The sequence below is a fragment of the Homo sapiens genome, chromosome 18 (genome assembly GCF_000001405.40).
Source record: "Homo sapiens chromosome 18, GRCh38.p14 Primary Assembly".
NCBI lineage: Eukaryota > Metazoa > Chordata > Mammalia > Primates > Hominidae > Homo > Homo sapiens.
Genome location: NC_000018.10, coordinates 67,501,745 through 67,521,131, shown reverse-complemented (window position 1 = coordinate 67,521,131; position 19,387 = coordinate 67,501,745). Strand labels below are relative to the sequence as shown.

Here is a 19,387-nt window from a genome sequence, read left to right as displayed (position 1 = left end):
CAAACTGCAAATAGGTAATTGGCAAGTCAGGGGGACAATTTAGGAATTGATTTGAACTACCAACAATTAGCACATAATCAATTTTTAGAGTCAGTGGGATGGGTCAGAGTTTCTCATTCTCAGCAGTACTGACTTTCTAGTCTGCATAATTCTTTGACTTGTGAGGCAGGAGGAGAGGAGAAGTTGTCCTGTTCATTGCAGGCTATTTAGTAGCATCCTGACCTCTATTCACTAGATTCCAGCAGTCCCTCCCACTAACCGAGACCAACATTGAAATTTCTCCAGACATTGCCAAATGTCCTGTTGAGAAACACTGGTGTAAGGATACCAGGCCAGGGGAAAGGGAGGGTGGAAGAGCCCTGGAGAAAACATCTTATGATCCCTTTGCAAGTTTTACTTTGTTTAAATTTTTCTTTCATATCAAAAGCTAAACTGTATGTAAGCAAATATGGTAGCAATAAAGCTTCTCATTTATGAATTCAAGGCTTTAGTAGACTTATGGGGAAACTTTTTCCCCCAGAATTTGGCTTTGGTATTTTTAAGTTTTAATAAATCTACTTACTGTCATACTGACTCTTGTGCAGCTGGATAAACAAACTCAAGAAACACTCTTAGCCACATCTTCATTAGCAACTCTGCAGGCAAAATCCCTGTCATTTTGAGATGTTTTGTATTCAAAGCAATTGCGGAAAAAAAAAAAGTATTTCCAGACTCTACTGCCTGCTTTAAACTTGTGGTTTTGTCTTTATTATTGGTGTGGCCTATTACTGCTGGCCAACTGGGCAATAAAATTTGCAGCTTAAGTTTGGTGTCTGTTTCTAAACAGTTACAGATGCTATATCCCTAACCTCTGGGGCAGACACTAGTTCTAATACTGCTAGTGGATCAATATAATATACATCTGGCCCTGGTAAGTGGTTCGAGAAATCTGCATCTGAGCTTTCACGGCCAAAGCTGTAGCAAAGGTGGATTATGCTATGAGAAGAATAACAAAGCCGTCTCCATATTCAAATGGCTATGCTGCTTGAAAGCCCAGGTATTGGAGACCTGTGCATAGGAGTTGCTGAATGCACAGCAACTAGTTCTTGAATGTCTTGGCCCCATTTATTTAAAAACCACCAGAATAACAGATCATGGACAAATGTGATTTTAGATCAGGGACTTTATGTAGTGTCTAGGCTTGTTTTATGGCTTGTACTTTATCGTTCTCAGGCTCAGAGCTTGAATTTGCCTATCTTAACATATACAATTAATGCAGAAATCCTCTTGAAAATGTTGTATGACTTTCCAGTCTCATGTTTCACTTGAATTAAGTCACCTCAAGGCATAGCTCCAATTATGGGTTGTGTGGTAAGAGGCTTCTCAGCACAGTCAGGAGAAAGAGTGTGTGACTCTGCTTAGAATGTAGTAACCCACTTTAGACCTTTATGACTTTTTCTCTTCTGTCATAAAATGGGGGCGATAATTCATGTTAAACATTCACCAAACATTTTTCAAAAAGTGCCAGGCTCTGGGATAGATGTTGAGAAATAAAATTTTAAAAGAAAAATAAAAGAGAGAGAGAGGAAGGAAGAAAGGAAGGAAAGGAGCGCGAGAAAGGCTTCTGTTCTGGAGAATCTACTCTAGAAAGCATTGTTTCTGTTGTAAGATAGGTGGTTGTGGGTAGGTTGAAAGATAGGCAAATAAAGAAAACAGATTTTCATAAGTACTTTGAAATCACGGAGTAAAATCTCATGTAGATTTAAGATCCTTTTATATAGAGAGAAATCCCCAGAGCAATAGACTGCACTGTTCTTCACTTACATTAAAATAAGATACTGCTCCAGGATTCTGAATTTAGCAGCTGTTGGTACATGTGTCTCTTGCCACACTCATAAAGGTTTTTAATGTACAATAACATAGCATATAGCTCATCCCTTCTATGGTCGGATGCATTATTTATAATTAACTAACTTTGTACCATCTTCATGTGTGGAAGGAGCAATAATTGGAGCTATCCATTTTTAGTTCACAGAAAACAAGACTCTCTTCATTTTTGACAGTGCCATTTACCTACCACCCTTTCTGCCAATGATTTGAATTGTTCAGTTGTGGCTCTTGTTTTATTTTAATGCATTCACATTTTACCACTATGCAAAGATGTCTGTTCAAAATGAATTAGTCTGAAAGCCCATCTGAGAATGCTGGGAGGCTAGCTGCATCCCCACTGCTTCAGCACAGATGCATGGGGCAGAGCTGAAAGGCCACAATGTCGGTACCTGAATTCATTCTTCTCTAAAGTGAAAATGATCATACTGATATTTCAAAATCTGAAAACAACATTGGAAGAATATTTGCCTGGCAGATGTTCGCGCATTAATTCTCTCTGACTCACCTTGCCCTCGCATCATGAGACACTTTGAATCCATAGAAATAACCCTGCCCCACACTTTGTTCTGAGAAATGTTCTGTACATCTAGTAGCTGTGTTTACTAACCCTAAATTCTAGGCTCCCCTCTGCAAACAGATAGGAATCTCTGGAGTCAGCTCCCCGTTTCCCCCAACTCTACTCTCTCATAAATGTGGTTGGAGGCCATGGGTCCTCTTCCTCTATCAGGGGCCATGTAGAGGCACAATCCAGATTTTACAGGAAGTTGTGTCAGAAGAGGATCCTTGTTTGGGAATAAACCTCAGTGGAGGAGACGAGGCTCTGTATCAGCCCAATTGTTCGAGGTTCAACTCATTTCAAAAGCAGATATAGTACTTACAAAGGGGACTTGAGTGCTACTCATGACTTGAAGGAGTTTTGAATAGGGTACAGGAGTCAACCAGTTGAAATAGAAAGCAGAAAATAAACAACCTAAACGGCCGAATATAGGTACAAATGATATAGTTCTGGAGTAATACATTCTGGCTAGGGAAACTTAGGAGTTATTTACAGAAGAATGTAAGCATCTGAGTTGAGACCTGGATGATCAGATAATTTCAACAGTCAGAAGAATTTTAACTAGTAAGTGGGGTGGTTGGGTAAAGGACACTGTGAGGGAAAGAATGGAATAAGCATAGTTACTGAAGCACCCAAGCAAAAGCAAGTGTGGCTATTTGGACTGGGCTAGGGGTTACTACGGGGCCAAAACAGAAGAGTGATGAGGAGTTAGAGGCCACATTTCACCTCAAAGTTAAATGATTTGAAATTTATTCTGCTAGCAGTCGTCTACTGTTTGATTTTCAGCAGCAAATGATCTAAGCAAGACATTTATTTTTAAAATGTTAAAATATATCTTATTAAATATTACCAAAATAGTATGGGAAATGAAGAGACTGAATGTGTTACTAATCCCCAACTGAGAATGGAATTGTTCATTTGTGAAGCTTGATATTTCCCTGTATTTTTATTACTACTAAGCTATTATTTTTTACATTTGAGGTCAGAGCTTGGGTTGGTTTATGCCAAAGTGTCATCTCAGCTATCTGTGAGAAGCTCCATGTGTGGAGTGCAACAGGAGTCCCAGCCTGCTCTAGGATTTCCACGACCTGGCACTGCACTCACATGTCGTAGTAGCCGGGGCACACTGCCTTCTCCTGTCTGCATGTAGGTCTTTACCGAATACCAGGTCCCATTTTTAAATAAGAGGCTCCTTCTACTTGTTTGTCCCATGCTTCCCCTATTTATACTGCCTGAGAAATTGTTTTCCATCAGTAAAGCTGATTAGTCTTTTCTGTTTTCCCTTGATCTTTGTTAGCATCTGGGCTACAGAAGTTGTCCTCCTATATTAATCTGGGTATTTCGGTTTTGCTTTTCCAAAGGACAGCAAGCTCAGCCAGGCTGCCTCTCAGTTCCAAGGGAGTGCTCATTCCCTCCTTCCCCAGCCCTTGCTCTTTCCAAAAGGATGATTTCTGTCGTCCCAGGGCTTATCCCCTCCCACTCCAGCTCCTCCCATCATTTGAGTCAATCCCACAGCCCCCACTATGGCTCTATTATATAGTTGTCGTCTTCCCATAACCAAAAGGTTTTAACGCCAGCCTGGCAGCGTCTTTAGACTCTCGCACTCCCAAACTGTCCCCTCCTCCAGCTCGACTCCTCCGGGAGCGCGCGGCCACCGCTGCAAGCCCAGAACACAAACGCCTAGAGCTTCCTCCGCTTAGAAACCCGGGGCGCTTGGCCCCGCCTCACCTGCTTTCGGCCCCGCCCCGCCCGCCGCCGGCCTGCTCACGGCTCCTCCCGTCCTCCCCGAAGCCCCGCCTCTGACCCCGCCCTGTCCTGTCTCCGTCCCGCCCCACGCCCGCCAGCCAGCGTCGCTGTCTCTCGCCTTCCCTGAGGCCCCGCCTTCAGCCCCGCCTTCAACCCCGCCCCGTCCTGCCTCCGCCCCGCCCCCGCTTGCCGGCCCGCGTCGCCGTCTCACCCTCCCCGGGCTGCGCGGCCGGAGCTGGCACAGAGGATCCTCGGCCGCGGCGACATCACCGCCTGGGCACGCGGGCGCTGCTCTGGATACGGCGCCACCGAGAGAACCCGCCGCCCGCGGGTCTCTGTCCTGCGGTCCGTGGTTGCCCCCACAAGCGTCCGGCGTTTCCTGAGGGCGGGCGTGTCCGGGCCGTGCGGGTCGCGGGGACCGAGCGCGGCTGAGGAGACCGAGCTGGGGCAGCGCCTGCCGTAGCGCGGGAGACGACGCGGGGGTCTTGCGGAGCCCCGCGGGAGCCTGGCCCGCCGTGCAGAGCAGTTTTCTGGAACTCTCCACCTCCGTCTCCCTTGGGGCCCAGTGCGGCGCCGAGCCCCCGTCGGGATCTGCCTGAGGTAAGCGGACTTGGTGGCTCAGGGGTCTCTCGCCATCCTGCCTCACTCAGCCCCAGAGCGGGGAGCGGAGAATGGGGGCGGCAGGGTCGGAGGACGCCAGTGAAAAAATGCAACAGGCGGGGCGGATCAGGAAACTCCTAGCCTGAATGTTTCCTACAGAGGGGAGACTTGTCCAAGACTGAAACTTGCTTAGGTTCTTCCAGCCGCGGACGGGCACGGAGAGGCGTCTTTCGACACCGGGGTCCGAGCTCCCTCTGGCGGCTCCACCTGAGGACAGGGACTCGGCCACAGGTGAGCGCCGAGCGCGGAGCTCCCGCCCCTCGGCTTGGCGCCTGGTCACGATTCGCGGTTACCCCGCCGAGAAAAGTGACTGGTCCGAGTAGTTCTCATTAGGAAGATACCTTCTGATCCCATGAACTCTAAACCTTCCCCCGGAATTAAAAAAAAAAAAAAAAAAAAAGATCTTTTCAACTTTCAGTTTTTTGTCCCTCGGTCCTTGGGAACAAGAAATAACAAGGATAGCAGGACTCATCTTTGTGTAAACTGCATTTGAATACAAACATTTTTTAAGTGACTGAAGCCACGTTAGTGGCGTTAAACTATAGATATTGTCGGGAGAGTTCTATCTTGTATATTTTGTATTGTTAGTTGCTTGTCTTCTGCTGACGGTCACTGGTTTCCAAATAAGTGCGTGTAAATGGATAAGAAAAAAATCACTTGCCCTAGCTTAGGTTGCAGATAATATGAGATTTTACTGTGATTCTAAAATTTCTATTAAGTGATTGCAGAATGTTTAAGTCATCAGTTTATATTCATTCTCAGCATACCTGAAGCCTCAGAGAATTTTTATTTTGTCCCCCATCCCCAGAAAAGTGTCATGAAAAAAGAGCAGAAGAGAGACCTCACTGTTGCTGAAAGGGGAATTTTCTTTCCCCGTTGGCGGTTACTTCATGATCGGACGAGAAGTATCTAGGTGACTGAAGATATTCCATTTTTATGTTTGTACACATGAAGCTGATAAAAGAAGATGTGAACATGATTTCTCTTTGTCATAATAGGCTGATGAGTAAGTAAGCCTGAAAAATATTTGAAATGAAGGCAAGAATTTTGAATTTTTAAAAACCAACTAAGACTTTGATCACTTGTTGAGGATGTTTCTCTCTCATAAATGAAAGAAAAACGTATTCACAAGACAAGAAGTATAAAAAGTTGAGAGGAATGACAACTGAGTCCACTCACTCGAAGAATGTCAGTACTTCATCATCTTCTTTGGGCAAACATACACAAATGCATCATACATGTGTGGTGAGCTTATCACCAGTGATGGTTTTCTGTGCTAGAAATGACTCTTAATTTGAATTTTGGAGTGCTTTTTCTCTTTTTTTACAATGTGTGTTCCAACTCTTTGTGTTAAATAGATTTAAGTAAAGGAGGTAAATGCTAAATTCATAGTGTTTTTTACCTGTATCACTTCCCTGTGTATTATGGAAAAATTAGAGATTTTAACGTTATTCAAAGTTTTACTGGAAGCAAAACTGTGCCAGGGACAGAGATATACAATTTAAGTTTTCTCTTTTTGGCAACTGCACTTGCTTAAAATGTACTGAATGTCAGCTGGATTTCACAGCATATCAGATTTACAGTCTTTGTCTTATCAAGGCCTTTACTGTATGTTTTATACTAACCAGATGGGAAACACATTGAGCATCATATCTGACATGTATGCCTAAGGGAGGAGCTCCCCCATGGATCATGGCGTTAATGTTTACAGGACATTTACTATTCTTAGCATTATTGATGTTTGCTTTCTCTACTTTTGAGGAATCTGTGAGCAATTATTCCGAATGGGCAGTTTTCACAGATGATATAGATCAGTTTAAAACACAGAAAGTGCAAGATTTCAGACCCAACCAAAAGCTGAAGAAAAGTATGCTTCATCCAAGTTTATATTTTGATGCTGGAGAAATCCAAGCAATGAGACAAAAGTCTCGTGCAAGCCATTTGCATCTTTTTAGAGCTATCAGAAGTGCAGTGACAGTTATGCTGTCCAACCCAACATACTACCTACCTCCACCAAAGCATGCTGATTTTGCTGCCAAGTGGAATGAAATTTATGGTAACAATCTGCCTCCTTTAGCATTGTACTGTTTGTTATGCCCAGAAGACAAAGTTGCCTTTGAATTTGTCTTGGAATATATGGACAGGATGGTTGGCTACAAAGACTGGCTAGTAGAGAATGCACCAGGAGATGAGGTTCCAATTGGCCATTCCTTAACAGGTTTTGCCACTGCCTTTGACTTTTTATATAACTTATTAGATAATCATCGAAGACAAAAATACCTGGAAAAAATATGGGTTATTACTGAGGAAATGTACGAGTATTCCAAGGTCCGCTCATGGGGCAAACAGCTTCTCCATAACCACCAAGCCACTAATATGATAGCATTACTCACAGGGGCCTTGGTGACTGGAGTAGATAAAGGATCTAAAGCAAATATATGGAAACAGGCTGTAGTGGATGTCATGGAAAAGACAATGTTTCTATTGAATCATATTGTTGATGGTTCTTTGGATGAAGGTGTGGCCTATGGAAGCTACACAGCTAAATCCGTCACACAGTATGTTTTTCTGGCCCAGCGCCATTTTAATATCAACAACTTGGATAATAACTGGTTAAAGATGCACTTTTGGTTCTATTATGCCACCCTTTTACCTGGCTTCCAAAGAACTGTGGGTATAGCAGATTCCAATTATAATTGGTTTTATGGTCCAGAAAGCCAGCTAGTTTTCTTGGATAAGTTCATCTTAAAGAATGGAGCTGGAAATTGGTTAGCTCAGCAAATTAGAAAGCACCGACCTAAAGATGGACCGATGGTTCCTTCAACTGCCCAAAGGTGGAGTACTCTTCACACTGAATACATCTGGTATGATCCCCAGCTCACACCACAGCCACCTGCTGATTATGGTACTGCAAAAATACACACATTCCCTAACTGGGGTGTGGTTACTTATGGGGCTGGGTTGCCAAACACACAGACCAACACCTTTGTGTCTTTTAAATCTGGGAAGCTGGGGGGACGAGCTGTGTATGACATAGTTCATTTTCAGCCATATTCCTGGATTGATGGGTGGAGAAGTTTTAACCCAGGACATGAGCATCCAGATCAGAACTCATTTACTTTTGCCCCCAATGGACAAGTATTTGTTTCTGAAGCTCTCTATGGACCCAAGTTGAGCCACCTTAACAATGTATTGGTGTTTGCTCCATCACCCTCAAGCCAGTGTAATAAGCCCTGGGAAGGTCAACTGGGAGAATGTGCGCAGTGGCTTAAGTGGACTGGCGAGGAGGTTGGTGATGCAGCTGGGGAAATAATCACTGCCTCTCAACATGGGGAAATGGTATTTGTGAGTGGGGAAGCCGTGTCTGCTTATTCTTCAGCAATGAGACTGAAAAGTGTATATCGTGCTTTGCTTCTCTTAAATTCCCAAACTCTGCTAGTTGTTGATCATATTGAGAGGCAAGAAGATTCCCCAATAAATTCTGTCAGTGCCTTCTTTCATAATTTGGATATTGATTTTAAATATATCCCATATAAGTTTATGAATAGGTATAATGGTGCCATGATGGATGTGTGGGATGCACATTACAAAATGTTTTGGTTTGATCATCATGGCAATAGTCCCATGGCCAGTATACAGGAAGCAGAGCAAGCTGCTGAATTTAAAAAACGATGGACTCAATTTGTTAATGTTACTTTTCAGATGGAACCCACAATCACAAGAATTGCATATGTCTTTTATGGGCCATATATCAATGTCTCCAGCTGCAGATTTATTGATAGTTCCAATCCTGGACTTCAGATTTCTCTCAATGTCAATAATACTGAACATGTTGTTTCTATTGTAACTGATTACCATAACCTGAAGACAAGATTCAATTATCTGGGATTCGGTGGCTTTGCCAGTGTGGCTGATCAAGGCCAAATAACCCGATTTGGTTTGGGCACTCAAGCAATAGTAAAGCCTGTAAGACATGATAGGATTATTTTCCCCTTTGGATTTAAATTTAATATAGCAGTTGGATTAATTTTGTGCATTAGCTTGGTGATTTTAACTTTCCAATGGCGTTTTTACCTTTCTTTTAGAAAACTAATGCGATGGATATTAATACTTGTTATTGCCTTGTGGTTTATTGAGCTTTTGGATGTGTGGAGCACTTGTAGTCAGCCCATTTGTGCAAAATGGACAAGGACAGAGGCTGAGGGAAGCAAGAAGTCTTTGTCTTCTGAAGGGCACCACATGGATCTTCCTGATGTTGTCATTACCTCACTTCCTGGTTCAGGAGCTGAAATTCTCAAACAACTTTTTTTCAACAGTAGTGATTTTCTCTACATCAGGGTTCCTACAGCCTACATTGATATTCCTGAAACTGAGTTGGAAATCGACTCATTTGTAGATGCTTGTGAATGGAAGGTGTCAGATATCCGCAGTGGGCATTTTCGTTTACTCCGAGGCTGGTTGCAGTCTTTAGTCCAGGACACAAAATTACATTTGCAAAACATCCATCTGCATGAACCCAATAGGGGTAAACTGGCCCAATATTTTGCAATGAATAAGGACAAAAAAAGAAAATTTAAAAGGAGAGAGTCTTTGCCAGAACAAAGAAGTCAAATGAAAGGCGCCTTTGATAGAGATGCTGAATATATTAGGGCTTTGAGGAGACACCTGGTTTACTATCCAAGTGCACGTCCTGTGCTCAGTTTAAGCAGTGGAAGCTGGACGTTAAAGCTTCATTTTTTTCAGGAAGTTTTAGGAGCTTCGATGAGGGCATTGTACATAGTAAGAGACCCTCGGGCATGGATTTATTCAATGTTGTACAATAGTAAACCAAGTCTTTATTCTTTGAAGAATGTACCAGAGCATTTAGCAAAATTGTTTAAAATAGAGGGAGGTAAAGGCAAATGTAACTTAAATTCGGGTTATGCTTTCGAGTATGAACCATTGAGGAAAGAATTATCAAAATCCAAATCAAATGCAGTGTCCCTCTTGTCTCACTTGTGGCTAGCAAATACAGCAGCAGCCTTGAGAATAAATACAGATTTGCTGCCTACTAGCTACCAGCTGGTCAAGTTTGAAGATATTGTGCATTTTCCTCAGAAAACTACTGAAAGGATTTTTGCCTTTCTTGGAATTCCTTTGTCTCCTGCTAGTTTAAACCAAATATTGTTTGCCACCTCTACAAACCTTTTTTACCTTCCCTATGAAGGGGAAATATCACCAACTAATACTAATGTTTGGAAACAGAACTTGCCTAGAGATGAAATTAAACTAATTGAAAACATCTGCTGGACTCTGATGGATCGCCTAGGATATCCAAAGTTTATGGACTAAATGCTGCAGGTCAGCAGAAATTTGCACTAATAATACTTACCAACCCACTTTGTGGATATGAATCAGAAGAGTTTGTTTATTCTTTAGTGTGTGTGTGTGTGTGCACGCGTGTATGTGTTCAGTGTTGTTTGCACAGAGAGATTGTTTTAAAAAATGGCACCATATTTGGCCTAGCAGGATTTATTTTTATGTCATCACCTCCCTTGCCTTTGTTTCTGAAAATTTTGTCTGCTAAAAAGTTTCTGCTACAGAGTGGTAGATGAAGTTATATCATGGGGTCAGGGGAGATGGGAAAATTTTAAGTTTTTGTCTAACTCCCCTTCATCTGTAACTGTGCTAATCTATCTAGAGACCTCAAACACTGCTAAAGGCCTTGCAATTGCTGCTTTACCCACGCATCTCTTGCTTTCAAGATGGACTACAAAAGTTCCTTATCCTTTTGAAAAGGTCTTCTGACACACTTATCTTGCACAAAGAAAAAGAAAATTTCTTTTACTGTGTTTAATGTTCAGTGATATCACTGAGGAAATGGTGAAAGCTCCTATCAGAACTATAGGATTTCTTCTGGGAAATACAGATGGAAATACAGAATGAATATGTTTTTTTGAGGTCGGAAACTGACTTTAAAAGCCTCCTTGAAGTTTTTTACTTAGAAATATAAGGAATAAGTCTTTGAACAATCTGGGTGGCAAGGGCTGGTAGATTATTTTAGACATGATTGTCTGTTTAAAACTCTCCTTTCACTTTTTATCCTCCCTGGAGCTACAGCTGTTCGCCATCACATCACTCCCATCCTATCCTTTCTGTCACTGTCAAGCAAAACAATCAGTAGTTACTAATCGCTGAACTCTCAATATTGTGGGGCATTTTCCCCCCAGTTGATTAATTTTGCGTTAAAGACTGACACAGACTTAGAATCAAATTTATTTTTCTGGAATTAACACTCTGTGACTCAAAGTAGTGCCACTGCAGTGTCTTTTTAAACTGGAAACAGAATTGGAAAACTGCCTGACTTATCTTGCATCCCTTTGAATGAGTTTACAGACTGCCAGTGTCTGCAAAAGTTGAAAGCAAATGGGAGATGATGTCAGAGGCATCTGTTTCCTTTACCATCTGCATCTTATTATAAATGTAGTCGTCATAAAGTGTGGTTTATTTTATTTTGGTAGGCTCTGAAATCAAAATGCTACGCCATTATAAGCCAGTGGAGTAATTACAATGTATTGGATGAAAACATAAGGCAGTGTGGAGACTTGATGAAAATCTCTGTACAGATTGCAGTCTTCTTCCTGATGTTTCAAACTGTGGTTCCCCCAAGCTCTCTAACACTTGGAAGTCTGTCATTCTGACCTAGATAAAAGTGGTTCTTTCTCAGTAGTTATTATTATGTCAAAATGTGCCTCCAGAGTGATAAAGCTCTGTATATGTTAGATTCCAGCTAAACCTAACTTGGCTGTCATTTTTCTTCCATTATAGTGTGAGTGGAGACTGCCCCCCCTCCCCAACATATTCCTTCCCATATCTCTCATGATTGTCCCTCTGTAATTTCAAAATGAATGAAATTCATGTGAATGTAGGTTGAGAGGGCACTGAAGACCTGAATCTACACTAGTAATCTCAAGAAAGATTATTCATTCTATCTCAGAGTTACCGGCAAGCATATAAAATGCTACTTGGATAATATCTACATGAATATTGCATGCTACATGGTTGATAACACTATTTCCATTATTGGGCAGAATCTCAGTGTTTACTTTCAATTCCTAGGATATGTGATCGTGAATCAGATCACATATAAAAAGTCTGGATTGTCAGTAGTATTAGATCTGATCAAGGTAGGAATTACAATTGCATGCAGGTAGCAAGCAAGAAAGCAGAAACTACTGTTCCCTTTATTTTAACATTGTACAGACAATACAGAAATGTACCTGTTGGCGGCCGGGTGCAGTGGCTCACGCCTGTAATCCCAGCACTTCGGGAGGCCGAGGCGGGTGGATCACGAGGTCAGGAGATCAAGACCATCCTGGCTAACACGGTGAAACCCCGTCTCTACTAAAAAAAAAAGTACAAAAAATTAGCCGGGCGTGGTGGCGGGCACCTGTAGTCCCAGCTACACGGGAGGCTGAGGCAGGAGAATGGCATGAACCTGGGAGGCAGAGCTTGCAGTGAGTGGAGATGCGCCACTGCACTCCAGCCTGGGCGACAGAGCGAGACTCCGCCTCAAAAAAAAAAAAAAAAGAAAAAAAGAAATGTACCTGTTGGCAGGAGAAGGCCAGATGGAGTATGTGGAGTAATAGGGAAAGAAGAGTTACAGAAAATGAAAAAGAAAATGAGTTACACTGAGAATGAATATGGGAACACGTCATTGATAGCAAAAGAAAGGTACAGGCTTACGAAAATGATCTTTACAATGTATCCCAGCTTTCACCCCCACATGGCAATGCAGAGTTGTATTTACTTGTTTCTGTACTCACCTACTCCCACCCCAAGGGAAAATTTTAGACATGAACCCTACTATTTAGTTATTCTAAAATAGAAAGTTTGCTGGAGAAAGCGTCCACTCACAGATTGTTCTGTAAGGAATGTTATGTATGGGTGAGCGGGTGACACATCCATTGGGTATGTATGCATGTGATGGTGCCTGAGACCCCTGCCTTAGAAACAGAATTCCTAAGGGGATTGACTCTCCCAGCATGTTCCCAGGTCCTGCACCCTTAGGGTGATCTAGGAAAATTTTAAATAGCTTCTACTCTTATTTTTGTTCTTTGAAATAATTAAAAGAGGGATTATCACTATCTGATACTTCTGAAAGAAACACTTACAAAATTTCTTATCTGTAAAATCCGTCTTTTTCTACATTAACTTCCCCAAACATAGGCCTAATTGAGATAATTGCTTTTATTATAATAATAGGATTGAAATTTTAAAATTTTGAAAGGACTTATTAATTTTGCTGACAAAAGTGAAGTAACAAATATAATGATAATTGGCTTTTTAAATTTTCAAACAACATAGATTTACTCAAGATGAAATAAAAAGGCCATATTCAGAGTTGAATTTAATGAAAACTCAGAGGAAATAGGAAAATCTGCTCAGGAGAAAGAAGCTAAATCTGCATAGATTTAGTTTGTAGAATTTAATTTAAAATTTAAATTTTAACAAAGTGATGACACAACAATATGTACGTTTAGGTGTGGACACCAAAATATTAGACATTTGATTGTCCTTTTACATAGAGAATAACTAATAAATGCCTGACAAGAATGGGACAATCCTTCCTTGTATCAAAATTCCCAGGTCTTGCTACATTGCCCTCTGCAAATGTATTCAAAGAAGAACCTCCTCCACCACTTACTTTTGGTTGGCATAATTGTTCAGCAACGATTTCTGTACATCACCAAGTATCTTTGGCATTCTTGGTATACAAAGTATATCACAATTTTAAGTGAGTAAATATTAATGATAATTTTTGAATTGCTTTGTTTGGCTTGATTAACTTTGATCAGAAATAGAAACGTTTTCATTTGTTGATTTAGGAAAAAGCATAAATAGAATGCAGTATAACACCACTTCCAAAGGTAAGGATACCTAACATTCTTTTTTTTTTTTTTTTTTTTTTTTTTGGGATGGAGTCTCACTTTGTTGCCCAGGCTGGAGTGCAGTGGTCTGATCTCGGCTCACTGCAACCTCCGCCTACCGGGTTCAAGTGATTCTCCTACGTCAGCCTCCTGAATAGCTGGGATTACAGGTGCACGCCACCATGCTTGGCTCATTTTTGTATTTTTAGTAGTGACAGCGTTTCACCACATTGGTCAGGCTGGTCTCAATCTCTTGACCTGGTGATCTGCCCACCTGGGCCTCCCAAAATGCTGGGATTACAGGCATGAGCCACCACACCTGGCAAGGGTACCTGACATTCTAAGATATCAAGACACTTAATATGTGGGCTATTAGCTGCTTATTTAAATGTTGACCAAATTGTCTGATATATCTGATTAATCATGATTTCACTTCATTTCGGAAGAAAAATTATCCATATCATTTTTAAAGACGCAAATGACTTTGGATTTTTGCATAGAGTACAATAGACACTTCAAACAATAGATTCTAACATTCTCTGAAACACTTGAGATGTTTGAGCTACCATTTATATGGGTTATTTATATTTAGTCTAAGTAACACATACATGTTTAATTGATTCTGTTTTCATGGATAGATTCAACTAAGTCTTCCAAGCAATTAATTTTTTGTTCGTCGTCGTTTTTCCTTCATACGTTATCTAGTTATGCAGCACTGGAAACAGACTGAAGATCATAAACCAGTTTTATCAGACCTATGTGTAATAAGACTCCTGTTAATACAAAAATAAAAAGCTAAAAGCAACTTGTCTATGATTGGGATAATTTTATCTTACCCCTTTTCCCTAGGTCTTTGAGTAATGCTATTAAGATTTTGTATGGAGCTGAGGAACCAGCAGTTGGAAAATGCAGGACAAGTTGAATACCGATCCCCAAACCCAGAATTTTAGCAACTGAACTTGGTCCTTCTCCACCTCCCCCAACCCCTGACTCTCGAGTCTCTGTTCCCCTAACTTAATTCCAGGTCCTGACTGCAACTTTCTAAATGGCAAGGATGTACCTGTATTAAGAATCTGTATTCTACATCTGCCCTTCCTGCTGCTAGTAAGATCTTCATTCAGGCATGATATCACTAAAAGAAGAAACTTCTTGCAAGTTACTTGAGGTATACATCACTAAAGTGATGTACAAGGTTAGCACATTGAAGATGCTTTTTTTTTTTTTTTTTTTTTTTTTTTTTTTTGAAACGGAGTCTCGCTCTGTCGCCCAGGCTGGAGTGCAGTGGCGGGATCTCGGCTCACTGCAAGCTCCGCCTCCCGGGTTCACGCCGCTTTTTTTTTTTTTAATAGAAGGGATTTAACACTACTTCCAGAGGTAAGGTTCCCTAACATTCTAAGATATCAAGACAATTAATATGTGGGCTGTTTACTGCCTGTTTAAATGTTGACTGAATTGTCAATAATTGGTTTACTTTGGATAAGGATCTGTCATGAATTAATCACTTAATATGTGCTGCACATTGAATCATAAGGTTTTTGTGTATCATTACAATCCTCACAACAACTCTATCAAGTAGTTATTTTACATATATGTTTGAAACTCATGTCAAGTGATTTGTCCAAAGCAAATCAGCTGATAAGTGGTTTGACCAAGATTTAGGCACATGTTTTTTCAGTTCTAAAGTTTTTTGAAGGAATTTTGAATGGATTTATAATTCATTATTTATTTGCCTATTCACCACACTTTTGTTACTTTTGAATCAACGGGTACTTTTGAATAAAAGGAACAATCAATGTATCTACTGTCAAGGTACTGATTAGCATAAAGGAAGAACATAAAAATCAATTGACTATGAATATCCTCAGTGAGGAATTGGCAATCTCTCTAGAGACTTTGAAACTCTTAGGAATTCATCAGGAAGAGAAAGAGTGAGAGGAGGGGCATGCAAGGTAGTGATTACCACCCAAGGAAAAGCCCCAAGAAGTGGTAGCTGTTCTATAGTAGACATGGCTTATTTATTTCTGAAACAGCACGGTTATGAGGAAAAAGAAGAAACTTCTTGCAAGTTACTTGAGGTATACATCACTAAAGTGATGCACAAGGTTAGCACATTGAAGATGCTTTTTTTTTCTTTTTCTTTTTTTCTTTTAATAGAAGGGAGTATAACGCTACTTCCAGAGGTAAGTTTCCCTAACATTCTAACATATCAATTAACTAGGGGGAATTATGATAGGTAAATTTGAGTAGCGATCACCACTAGGTTTTGACTATATACTTCTCACAGCACATCCCATCAATCTTCTAAGAGAGATTCTGGGTTATCCATAAGTGCAAATAGAATAAAACCACTGGAACTCACTCTTGCCATTCCCATTCACTCAACTACCCCAAGTTTGCTCTGTATTTGAATATCAAGGAATGCCCTGGAGAGAGAGAGAAAAAAAAAAGGCCTGAGTGTGGTCTGACTGGCCTGTGTGTAGACCATTGCTAGTAATGGCAGTAAGATGGACAACTCAGTGTATTTGATTCAGGCTCCGTCAGGCTTTTCTTTTCCTTCTCTCCCCCTCCCTGAGACCTCCAGATCCAAAGTGCCAGGCACAGCTCTCAATCCTGGGAATGCAATGGTGAACAAAGTATACATGGGCTCTACCTCCATGAAGCTGACAGCTTAGAGGGAACTAAAAAGAAACATTCTTTTTCCACTTTTCACAAATTTCCCAGCATAAAGGAGGCTATACCAAGTAGAAGCGAATGCTGTGAATTCTGTGACTAACAGTTGATCAAATACATTCAAATAGAGTTTGTTTTAGGGGAAAAACAACACTCTGTTGTTCTTTTCCCTGTCTTCTAAATAATGACAGAAGAAAGGAAACAAAGGAGGGAGGAAAGGAGTGAAATGGGAAGAAAGGAGAAACCCTAAATCTGAACACAGCAAATAAAGTACTCAAGGAGAATCATTCCAATAACAATGGTGTGTTAATTATTGTATCAACTATTTAAAAGACTGAAATATTAGGGAAGATGATACTTGGTAGGACAGAAAGATAAATTATAATCTAAGCCGATACTGTTTCACAGTACATGGCAATTGTTCTTCCTATTTTATACTATTTCTTTAAACGATTTCTGTATTGCTGACTCTTGAATGTAATTTTTCTTTCAACTGTATTAACACTGATGTTGAATTTCACCTAATGTCTCAGGTTTTCAACTGTCCTAGATAAGCCAGTGTCCTCTCATATATTGTGTTTTGCTCTGTTTCTGACCTCGGGATACATACATTATTCTTTATGGTTTAAAGAGGGAAATATTCATGGTCATGCAACATCTTTAATGCTCCTTGTTTCTCTTTTTGGAAGTCAATTTGGCTCCTATTACTGGCACTTCTCTCATTTGCTAAATGAGAAACATAAACTTTTCAATCCTTGCATTAAAATCTGACACCCCTTGATGAACAATAAGTTTATTTTTACCTTGTTCATTGCACTATGCAAATAATGCTCCAAACCCTTGTACTATACTGAAAAATTAATGCCAAGTTTTATTGATTTTTTTTTGTTTTAATATGTTCATTCCTTCACTCTGTTCCAAAAGATTACTTTTTCTCTAGATTTGTTTACATTGCTTGCAACTTTAAAATATGGTTAGTTTAACTTTATGGACCATTTTAATTTGATGCTTTAATGCAATATTTCACTTAACATTGAAGGGAGATTTATATGTATAAAAACAATACAACCAAGAAATGATGAAATTGCTTTGAGGGGATACACATTAAAATATAAGTTCATACAAAGGATATAGCTACTATAAGTTAACCCCACATAAACAAAACAGAAGGTTTTTACTGTTATTTTTAAACATTAATCTGGGCACCCTGGCTAGTTCAGTGCTAACTGGAGCACAACATGCTTACAGTTGGCTTATGTACACCAACTAACTTCTGATTATCTCTCTAGATTTACTGAAGTAAACTGAAATGTACACATATCCAGTTGTTACTTTGACTGTTTCCTAACGGTAATTATAAAACTATCTAAAATATCCTATTGTTGAACACATGAATAAAAAGATGCGTGCTTGTATACACATACACAAACTTAAAATTTCATTACCTTAAGAGGCATAAGGTTTTCTCTGTGCAAGCAGCAGGTTGTACTGGTGGGTTTTTCACAAGCTTTGTTTTTACCTTTCCCCCATTTTCATCCTTAATTTGAAGGGGGACATTGCCGTTGAAAATGTAATAGACACAACAAGTTTATATTTAATAATGATCTTTGGAATTAGAAATAAGTACAAATCCCCTAGTCGGTATCTACTAGTTCTGAGGTCTTATGCAAGTTTCTTAATTTTAAATCTTCATTTTTCTATCAGTAAACTCCCTCAGAGTTGGCGCAAGGATTTTCAAAAAGTATGTAAATTAATTATAGTAATTATTTCCTCTTTGTGACCATCTCCAATATTCTTGTCTTAATTATGAGAGAGAGAGAGAGGCAGCAGAGGTATATTTACTTTTATTCTCTTACAGTATATGCCCAAAGAGAAAAACCAATATAAAATATGATGCATCTGTTTTTAAGTGAGAAAATATTAAAAATATTTTCAAATAATTTTGACATATATAGTTAAGATATGTAGATATCTATACTAATCAGCCACCTATTTTAGTACTTACTGTATTAATTGAGTTGCACAAACTTGTAAAATAAAAATTACACAATATTATTTAGAAATGATTAATATGATTTAGAAATACTGCTTTTTTAAGCTTCATATTTCAGTAAACAAATTTGATTCAGCCTTTCACTTCACCTTCAATATCTTCATTTCCAGAGCCATATTTTGTCTTTTTCCAAAGTATACTTATTTCTGAGATTTATTGAGATACAAACATTTCTGAATTCAAGTTTGATGTTGTCATTCAGTTTTATTCCATGTCACAAGAGCTTTTTTTTTTTTTCTTTTCTTCTTGGAGACAGAGTCCTGTCACCCAGGCTGGAGTGCCGTGGCACAATATTGGCTCACTGCAACCTCCGCCTCCCGGGTTCAAGCGATTCTTGTGCCTCAGCCTCTGGAGTAGCTGAGATTATAGGCACCCACCACCACATCAAGCTGATTTTTTTGTATTTTTAGTAGAGACAGGGTTTTGCCATATTGGCCAGACTGGTCTCAAACTCCTGACCTCAGGTAATCTGCCCCGTCATCCTCCTAAAGTGCTAGGATTATAGGCACGAGCCACCCTGCCCGGCCACAGGTGCCATTTGCATAACATTAAGCATAACTGCATTCGTACCTTCATTTGATAGGCATATATTTGTGATTGTCTACATTATTGTATTTTTTCCATTTCAATTTTTTCCAGTTAAGTATACATAAACTCAGCTTGTTTTAGAAATTACATTTACTCCACTGACTATGATAGAATAAATGGAAACCAGTTGGAGGAAGTGTATTCAAATTACATATAAATGTATATGTATATATTACCTTAACACCATACATAACAGAGGATTATATCAATATAAAACTATTAAGTACCTAGAATGAACTTTTCTGTTAATTCACAGGCTATTCACACATATTTTTTGGGTAGCAATAAAATTCTACAGTATCTCATCTTTTGGTTGGTGCTTTGTAGGTTTGGATG

General features: G+C 39.9%; 1 protein-coding gene and 1 long non-coding RNA gene across 2 annotated transcripts in view; one reads left to right on the top strand and one right to left on the bottom strand.

Moving 5' to 3' along the window:
* The window catches only part of DSEL-AS1 (DSEL antisense RNA 1), a 383,074-nt gene extending 378,488 nt beyond the window's left edge, over window positions 1–4,586 (bottom strand). Inside the window, exon 1 of the long non-coding RNA NR_033921.1 lies at window positions 4,383–4,586. This is a non-coding gene — a long non-coding RNA (DSEL antisense RNA 1). The remainder of the gene's footprint in view (window positions 1–4,382) is intronic.
* On the top strand, window positions 4,412–14,545 carry DSEL (dermatan sulfate epimerase like). Its single transcript, NM_032160.3, has 2 exons — window positions 4,412–4,771; window positions 5,640–14,545. Exon 2 carries the CDS (start codon window positions 6,524–6,526, stop codon window positions 10,160–10,162), a length of 3,639 nt encoding a protein of 1,212 aa, NP_115536.2. The 5' UTR covers window positions 4,412–4,771; window positions 5,640–6,523; the 3' UTR covers window positions 10,163–14,545.
* Window positions 14,546–19,387: the final 4,842 nt, after the last annotated feature.

Coding starts and splice junctions, on each gene's coding strand:
- DSEL (NM_032160.3), top strand. CDS start 6,524: ATGGCGTTAATGTTTACAGGACATTTACTATTCTTAGCATTATTGATG.